Source organism: Homo sapiens, chromosome 17 (genome assembly GCF_000001405.40).
Source record: "Homo sapiens chromosome 17, GRCh38.p14 Primary Assembly".
NCBI lineage: Eukaryota > Metazoa > Chordata > Mammalia > Primates > Hominidae > Homo > Homo sapiens.
Genome location: NC_000017.11, coordinates 15,721,205 through 15,731,026, shown reverse-complemented (window position 1 = coordinate 15,731,026; position 9,822 = coordinate 15,721,205). Strand labels below are relative to the sequence as shown.

Here is a 9,822-nt window from a genome sequence, read left to right as displayed (position 1 = left end):
GGAAAGAAAGAAAACAAAATGACAATGGAACATCATCTATTTCCTGTCCATCTGAAAGGAAAGCCTAAGGAAGCCTATTGGGTTCCATCACCCTGAGGGCCCCGAGGATGGCATCACACAGTGCAATACCCAATGGCAGGGGCGGTGCTCCATCCCTGCAGACGTCATCGAGAGCACACCTGGGGTCGTCTAGGGTCATGGACCTGGCCACAGAGCAGAAACTGGGTCAACAGGAGTGCACACACGCACACAGGTGCACACTCACACACTGGAATAAAACGAATTTCGTAGCAAGTGGTCACGTGCGCGTGGGAGCGCGCGCACACACACACACACACACACACACACCACACTTGTTGCTGATCTGCTGACTTATCTCACTGCCATGAAACAGCAGCTAAGCCTGTAATTGCTCTGCCTTTCCTTGGATTTTTCCTTTAGTTTCTCTGACTGCTGGGTTACTGGCCTGTGTTTAGCTTCATGAACATGGGTTTCACTTTATTTTTATGGGGTTCCAGCTCTTGCTCATGGAATCCCTCCCTGCCTGTTCTGCAGTCTTCCCTTGTTTACTGCCTGTGGACTTCAAGTATCAGACACAGAGAAAGATTTGTAGATACTGTTTACTCAGCCCCCACAATTTCCATAGCAGGTCTCTTAATTCCCATCACCTCCAGGGAGGGTCATTGCTGGGATCCTAGGAATCAAGTGCCTTGTCTTGATGGCCACAGTGGTAACCATAATAGTCAGGTTTTCCCTCTGTGCAATTCTGGAACATAAAAATCTTCTCTGGTAACAAGACTACAGAAAGCAATGAAAGCAACACTAAACTGGGAGTTTGCTGGCCTGTGTTTCTAAGAAATTTAATGTTTTTACATAAATAATGAAGAAGAAACGACTTTTCTAAAGTTCCTGTCATTTATGCCATGGATTGGACTCTTCTGTGAAAGCAGTTTTATTGATGGATGTGGATAATTAGCTTAACTTCAAGTAAAAGATTAGAGAGCAAATTGTAAACATAACTGTGCTTTTTTACACTCAAATGACATTAATCAGACAGTTTTGGATCTCTAGAAATATATATTAGAACATGTAAGTTCTATATTGAAATACGCAAGTTTGGAATCCTTCAGGTGGCTTATTTTTCATCAACTAGAAATAATACTAAAATTGCAAAGATTTATTATGATTTATATTATTTGTCCTAATGGAAAAAGGAATTCAAATATGTTTATTAAAGTATAATATACACAGGAATCCTATTATTCTACTACTCAGTGATTTATCACAAAGAGGACACATGCTTGGAGCTACCACACAGTCCAAGAAAATGAAATAAAAATAACAATCTGGAAATCCCTCTCCTGAAGGTCTGCTCCCTAACCACTGCCCACCTGTCTTGTCAAAGCAAAGAGTCACCTGGTTTTTAGCAGCCCCAATTAGTGTTGTCTGTTTCATAAATGGAAGCATGGAGGGCCATTCAGTAGGAATGGTTTTGTGTGTGGCTTCTTTGGCCCAGCATTACATTTGTGACACTCCTTCAAGTGGTTTCATGAAGCAGTTCATTTTTTTTTTTTTTTTTTGAGATGGAGTTTCGCTCTGTCGGCCAGGCTGGAGTGCAGTGATGCGATCTCGGCTCACTGCAAGCTCTGCCTCCCAGGTTCACACCATTCTCCTGCCTCAGCCTCCCGAGTAGCTGGGACTTACAGGCGCTTGCCACCATGCCCAGGTAATTTTTTTGTATTTGTAGCAGAGATGAGGTTTCACTGTGTTAGCCAGGATGGTCTCAATCTCCTGACCTAGTGATCCATCCGCCTCAGCCTCCCAAAGTGCTGGGATTACAGGCGTGAGCCACCGTGCCCGGCCCAAGCAGTTCATTTCTTTTCCCTGCTCGGTGGTGCTCTGCATGAATATGGCACATCTATCAATTCTACTGTTGATGGACATTGGTTTGTTTCCATTTTGGGACTACTAGCAATAAAGCCACTATGAACATTCTTGTTAATTTCTTTTGGTACACATGTATAGATATTTTAGTTAAGTACAGCCCTACAAATAAAATAGCTTGGTCATGGTAACTGCATATGTTCAAATGCAACGCATGTCACTAAAAATGTCAGCTAGGAGGAAAAGCTCAAGAGCTCTATTGTACAACATGTTGACTACAGTTAATAACAATGTGGTAATACTTGAAATTTTTGAGACAGCAGATTTTAAATGTTCTCACCACAAAAAAAAAAGATAAGTATCTGAGGTAACTGATATGCTAGGTAGCTTGATTTAGCCATTCTACAATGTCTGTCTGTTGCTATACATATATATACACAGATTTAGCTATTCTACAATGTGTGTGTGTGTGTGTGTATGTAAAATGTGGTATAGCATAAATACATACAATTTATCAATTAAATTTTAATTCCAAAGATTTTTTTGACTAATATATAACCCAACCACAAGTTTGAGAGTTCTAATTAGATGTCCTTTCCAACACCTGATTTTGTCAGTCTTCCTTTTACATATTCTGGTTAGTGGATAATGTTATTTCGTTTTCATTTATTTTGGTCTTCTGATTATTAAAAGGCCTGATACCACTTTCATAAATGTTTATTGAAAATGTATATAATCAGGCTGGGCACGGTGGCTCATGCTTGTAATCCCAGTACTTTGGGAGGCCGAGGTGGGCGGATCTCTTGAGGTCCGGAGTTCGAGACCAGCCTGGCTAACATGATGAAACCCCGTCTCTATTAAAAATACAAAAAAAAATTAGCTCGCCATGGTGGCAGGCGCCTGTAATCCCAGCTACTCGGGAGGTTGAGGTGGGAGAATTGCTGGAAACCGGGAGGCAGATGTTGCAGTGAGCCAAGAACGTGCCACTGCACTCCAGCGCGGGGGACAAGAGCGAAACTCGCATGGTGGTGCGTACGCCTGTAATCCCAGCTACCCAGGAGGCTGAGGCAGGAGAATCGCTTGAACCCGGTAGGCAGGTTGCAGTGAGCCGAGATTGCGCCATTGCACTCCAGCCTGTGCTTCAAGAGCGAAACTCCGTCTCAAAAAAACAACAAAAAAAGAAAATGTATATAATCATATTTTCAGGGGTCTATGCAATTTTTTATACTTTTTCCAATGTGGTTATCAATCTTTCTAAATGATCTTCGAGAAGTTTTTAAAAATAAATTCTTGACATAAATTTTTGGGATTTTGTCAGTTAAAGGTGGAAATATCTTCTCTTTAAGAAAGAGCTTGGCTGGGCGTGGTGGCTCACGCCTGTAATCCCAGCATTTTGGGAGGCCGAGGCGGGCTGATCACGAGGTCAGATCGAGACCATCGTGGCAAACACGGTGAAACTCCATCTCTACTAAAAACTACAAAAAAAAATTAGCCGGGCATGGTGGCGGGCGCCTGTAGACCCAGCTACAGGCTGAGACAGGAGGCAGGAGAGGAGGCTGAGACAGGAGAATGACGTGAGCCCGGGAGGCGGAGCTTGCAGTGAGCGGAGATCGCACTCCAGCCTGGGCGACAGAGCCAGACTCAGTCTCAAAAAAAAAAAAAAAAAGAAAGAAAGAAAGAAAAGGAAAAAACAAAGAGCTTATTAGGCCGGGCACGGTGGCTCACGCCTATAATCCTAGCACTTTGGGAGGCCGAGGCCGGCGGATCACGAGGGCAGGAGATTGAGACCATCCTGGCTAACATGGTGAAACTCTGTCTCTGCTAAAAATACAAAAAATCAGCCGGGCGTGGTGGCAGGCGCCTGTAATCGCAGCTACTAGGGAGGCTGGGGCAGGAGAATCGCTTGAACCCAGGAGTTGGAGGTTGCACTGAGCCGAGATGGTGCCACTGCACTCCAGCCTGGACTACAGAGCAAGACTCCGTCTCAAAAAAAAAAAAATAAATAAAATAAAATAAAAAGAGCTTATTAATGGATAATCATTGGAGATGTTAAGTTTTAGGTAAGATAGAAAAAAGGGTCTTTTAACATAGTTGTATTATATATATTTTTGCCTTGTATTTTCATGTTACAGAATGGGTCTAACTTTGGGTCAATATATGTGTTCACTTAATTTTTTTCTAAATTTGGAAGTAACCTGAAATTTACACAAAGACTGCAATAGAATTACAAAGGATAGCCAGGTTCCTCTTAGACTGACACACAGTTAACGTTTAATCCTGCTTGTTTTATCATTTGCTCTTTCTATACACAAATTTTTCTTGAATCATTTCAATTTCATACATTACTCTTCTTTACCTCTAAATACTTCAATATGCATTTCTCAATAATGAGGATATTATTAATACTTTACACAACCATGATACAGTTATCAACTGCAGTAAATTTAACATCAATACATTACTTTTATCTATTCTGTTGCTTGTATTCCAGTTTTGAAAAATTGAACCAATAATGTCTTTAGGAGATTTTCTCTCACACAAGACCTAGTCAAAGATCCTGTATTGTATTTGGTTGTCATGATGCTTTAGTCTCTTTTAATTTGGAAGTTATTCAGCTTTTCCTTGTCTTATGTGACATTAATATTTTTGAAGAATGCAGTCCTTTTAATAGTCCTCATTTTGGAGTTTGTCAAATATTTCCTCATGATTAGATTCCCATTATGCATTCCCAGCCAGAATAGTACACACATTATGCTGTGTCCTTCTCATGGTATCACATCTGAGGCACAGAATGGCCATGTGCTGCTTACTCATATTAATTTTGATCATGTAATCAAAGTTTTTGCCAGTTCTTCCACTATATAATTATTTTTTGCCTTGCAATTGCTAATCATAACAAGCAATCTCTGGAAAAGATACTTCAATTCTATGCAAATATCCTGTTCCTCATCAAAATTTCCCCTTAGATTTAGCATCCATTGATTCTTGCTTGAATCAGTCTTTACTGTTATGGCTACAAAATGATAGTTTTCCAGCTCCAACATTCCCTTCGCATTTACCCATTGGCATAGGATATTCTGCGGTAAGCAAGTGTCCTCTGTTATCGCTCATTTATTTACTTATTATCAATGTGAACTCATGGACTACTACTTCTTCAATGGTTTACAATTCATCATTTTCTTGTTTTGCTGCTCAAATTGTTCCGGATTTAGTCAGTGAGGGCTACTTCCTGTGTCTTTGTGACCTACCCTCATCATTTTTTTGAGTGCTACTTTTTTTTTTTTCTGGAATAAGATGTTCCAGGATCTTCTTGGAGTTTCCTTCCCTCAGACCTGCAATCAGCCATTTTTCTGAGGAGCCTTAGTTCCTTTTAGCAGAGAACGGTATCAGAAACCAAGATCTGGGCTCATTGCAACTGAGATGTCATTGCTTTTAGCCCGTTTCAGTAGACAGAGCTAGGAAATGTGTGTGCTAAGAAGGTATAAAAGGGATGTGTGGCTGCAGGAGGTCATTTTATGTGTGTTTGTGAGTTTTGCTCATCTGCTAAGTTGCCTGTCTAATGTAGAGAGTTCTGATTATCTACATCCCAGTTAATTTCTTTGGTTAGCAAATTTGTGATTAATATGAGTGGCTGGGAGGCTGTATGAAAACAATAGCGGCAACGAAACTGTGCAGAAAAGTTAACATAGCAAGTCCGAGCCTGCTATCTTTAGAAAGACTTGCCTACGAGGTTGGCCACAGGCGGGCATCTGGGAAGGATAACTTTGGGATCGTTCCCGCTAATTCCAGAATTAAAGTGGATCACTGCTCCTAAACTGTCTGTAAAAACAATGAAGCTTATGCTGAACACCTGCTTTCCTTCTGGAAGTCTGGAGTTTTGGTACATGCTAGACAGAGACTGCCTATGTGACTAGCACCCAGTACAAACCTTAGGATTTGAATCTCTACTGAGCTTCCCTGATAGATCACATTTCACACATGCTGTCACAACTCCTTGCTGTGGGAAATGAGCAAGTCTTGTGTGACTTCGCTGGGAGGGGACTCGGGGAAGCTTGTTCCTTGTTTCCTCCAGACCTTGCCGCCCCATGAGCCTTTTCTCTTTACTGGTTTTGCTGTGTGTCCTTTTACTATAATAAACCACAGCCAAGAAAATGACAACATGCTGAGTCCTGGGAATCCTTCTAGTGAATCATTGAACCTGGGGGTGGTCTTGGGGATCCCTAAACATGTAGAAAGAAAATGTTATGTTTTTGTTTATCAAAAGAAAACAGGACTATTTTTCTCTTAGAGTGAAATGTGTGGTTGTTGCAGAATGCAAAAGATAGTTAAAGCATAAAACTGGAGAGGATGCTGTAAGTTTTGGAAGGTTTGGGGGAAAGTGAACTTTACTTGTGCTTTATAATAGCTGCGAATTCTGAAAAGAAGAAATAAAATGTATTAAAATTTTGACAAAAGTTGGCTTGATTTTGATGAGTTCATTAAAATCTATAAATCTTTAATTCAAAATATTATATTTAAAAAGATTAAACTTCGGTTATCTTTGCTTAAATGATAGTTTGTTCAACAAGAGAAAGGGAAAGATCATTCTTTACCTTCTGTGTAATCTGCCCAATAGTAGAAATTGTCTCTCATCAGAACTACAGTTTTGTGCTTTGTTCTGTGTTATGCTTTTCATTTTATATATATATATATATATATATATATATATATATATATATATATATATATGAACAAAGCCAAAACAGACCCTTATCTTGGAGCTTATGATATGGCATTCATAAACAGGAAAATGTAAGAAATACTTGGGTTTGTTTGGTATGTCCTATAGTTATTAATTAGTTCAAAATGATTGTAAGAGCTGCTCTGTTTATGGGAAGAGGTGTCAGACCAAAGAGAAGGGAAACCTTCCCTAGTTTAATTTTGTATAGATATGTTACTAAAACAAATGTTTCAGAAACTGTATACTTACTTATGTTTGGAAGGCCCTGGAGATGTCCACACTGTATATAATGCATTCTTACTCTCAGGGGAACACTGATCAACTCCTCTTTGAAATAATCATGTCTTATACTCCAATAAAGGATTTTACTCTCCTTCATTCTGATAGTTATTATAATAAATTATAAAGCGTTAATTATAAATTCAGATGGAATTAAATGGTGCTGAGATAGCAAGAGAATGAGCTGATGACATCTTCTGAATATCTGAATCCAGTCATATCTGAAGCCAGATCTCACCATGGGTTTTTAAAAATTATAGTCCTGGGCCGGGCGTGGTGGCTCACGCCTGTAATCCCAGCACTTTGGGAGGCTTAGGCGGGCGGATCACGAAGTCAGGAGATCGAGACCATCCTGGCTAGCACGGTGAAACCCCATCTCTACTAAAAATGCAAAAAATCAGCCAGGCGTGGTGGCGGGCGCCTGTAGTCACAGTTACTTGGGAGGCTGAGGCAGGAGAATAGCATGAACCTGGGAGGTGGAGCTTGCAGTGAGCCAAGATCGCGCCACTGCACTCCAGCCTGGGTGACAGAGCGAGACTCTGTCTCAAAAAAAAAAAAAAAAAAAAAATTACAGTCCTGGATAACCCAGCAGGTTTGAGTCACTACAACATGAGATGCATAGGTCACGAGACTGGGAATTGAATCAACCATACATAAAACTATGTTTTTGATATGGCAAAAGTAATATTTATGGTGGTGGCTGCCCTATACCATCTCGGGTCCCTAAGTGACTACTGATGAGCAAAGATTCCCTGCCAGGCCACAAAGGACAGGTAGCACAAGTTAGCATTAAGAAATGGCACCCTGGTGAGAGGTCCATGCTTTTTGTATACTAGAGCCTGGTCTCAAAGAATAGAAAATTATCATCAAAATATAACTCAGCAATGTGCAACAAAGCCCTTTCACATATATAATTTCACATAACCCTCACAGAAACTCTATGAAATCAATGTTGGAAATACTTTCTTAGTTTTTTTTTTTTTTTTTTTTTTTGAGATGGAGTCTCGCTGTGTCACCCAGTCTGGAGTGCAGTGGCACGATCTTGGCTCACTGCAAGCTCTGCCTCCCAGGTTCACGTCATTCTCCTGCCTCAGCCTCCCGAGTAGCTGGGACTACAGGCGCCCGCCACCATGCCTGGCTAATTTTTTTGTTATTTTTAGTAGAGACGGGGTTTCACCGTGTTGCCAGGATGGTCTCAATCTCCTGACCTCGTGATCTGTCCGCCTTGGCCTCCCAAAGTGCTGAGATTACAGGCATGAGCTACTGCACCCAACTTTCTTAGGTTTTAAACTTCTGTCAATGTTATCACTGTTTGATCTTTGAAAAACTGCTCTTGTGGGGGGGAATAGATGGGGAGCAGGAGGCCAGATAGTCTTATTCATGCTGAAGTTAACTTCCAATAGCAGTGTTTGTTTTACCTGCACAGCATCTTTGGATTTATTTGAGGGAAGCACCCTGTCCCCACCCACAGTGCAAGTTGCATCAATGGGATGGACTCCACCCTCTCTTCCTCCAGGGTTTTACACAGACTCAAGCCTGGTCGATGAGAGGACCCCATTTCCAGGGTGGTATTATAAAAGGTTCAGTGATCAGCACGACTCAAGCAAAGTGGAGAAGTAGCCTCAGGGATTTTGCTGGAGCTATTTGGAAAGAGGTACTTTCCTTGGAATTGTGAATGCCAAGAACCGTAATATAACTTCCAAGTGCCAGTAGGCTATTTGTCGCTGCAAGAGACTAAGAAAAGCACATCCAACAGAGAGGAAGCCAGAGCAGAGATGGAGGCGGACAGTCCTCGATCTATTAATAGCAAAGCATTTATCTCTAGTTTGACTCCATGGATTGCCCCAGATATGTGAACTTTGCTGACATGATGATTACGTGTTTCATGAATTGGTGGGAGTGGGAGGGAGGTGAAGCATGCACCTTTTTTGTATAGTTCACTCAATCTAAGGGATTTATAAACAGAGGTTACATCATGAAAAAAATAAAAAACAATTCAGTAAAAACATCTAATTTTTTGAGGTTTATAAGTGGAAACTACACAGTAGGACCAGATGCCACATTTTATATATATTACTACAGGGAATAGCCTTCTACCTTGTCAATGAAACTTATGGAGAGGGACAGCTCATATGGCTATGGGTCCCAAGACTGCCTAGTTGGGGCCCAGAAAGAATTACACAAGGAAGGGAAGAAAGCAGGCTTCCAACTTGAGTCATCTTCTGATAAACACATTTTTTTTTTTTGAGACAGAGTCTTGGTCTGTCATCAGGCTGGAGTGCAGTGACTCAATCTCGGCTCACTGCAACCTGCATCTCCTGGGTTCAAGCGATTCTCCTGCCTCAGCCTCCCTAGTAGCCACCACGCCCAGCTAATTTTTGTATGTTTAGTAGAGACAGGGTTTCACCATGTTGGCCAGGATGGTCTCGATCTCTTGACCTCATGATCCACCCGCCTCAGCCTCCCAAAGTGCTGGGATTACAGGCGTGAGCCACCGCGCCCAACCGATAAACACATATTTTTAAAAGTGAGAACACATCTAAGAAAATAAAAACTATGACAAATTTTCAATAGATAATTGATCTAGTTAATTGCCAATCAATTTGAATATTTAGTATTCTTACATTATCACTTTTATACTTTTGGGTGATATTACATTGTCTTCCCCCAAACCAGATATAATTGAAAAGTTACACAAAATAAGATTTTTATGACATTTTACCTAATTTTTTTTTTTTTTTTTTTTGAGATGGAGTTTCGCTCTTGTTGTCCAGGCTGGAGTGCAATGGCACTATCTTGGCTCACTGCAACCTCTGCCTCCCGGGTTCAAGTGATTCTCCTGACTCAGCCTCCCGAGTAGCTGGGATTACAGCCATGTGTCACCATGCCTGGCTAATTTTGTATTTTTAGTAGAGATGGGGTTTCTCCATGTTGGTCAG

The 9,822-nt window shown here is 41.0% G+C and overlaps 1 long non-coding RNA gene across 1 annotated transcript in view; it reads right to left on the bottom strand.

Annotated features, from left to right (window-relative positions):
* ZNF286A-TBC1D26 (ZNF286A-TBC1D26 readthrough (NMD candidate)) overlaps positions 1 to 9,822 on the bottom strand; it is a 46,414-nt gene that overhangs the window by 15,139 nt on the left and 21,453 nt on the right. The window lies entirely within an intron of this gene.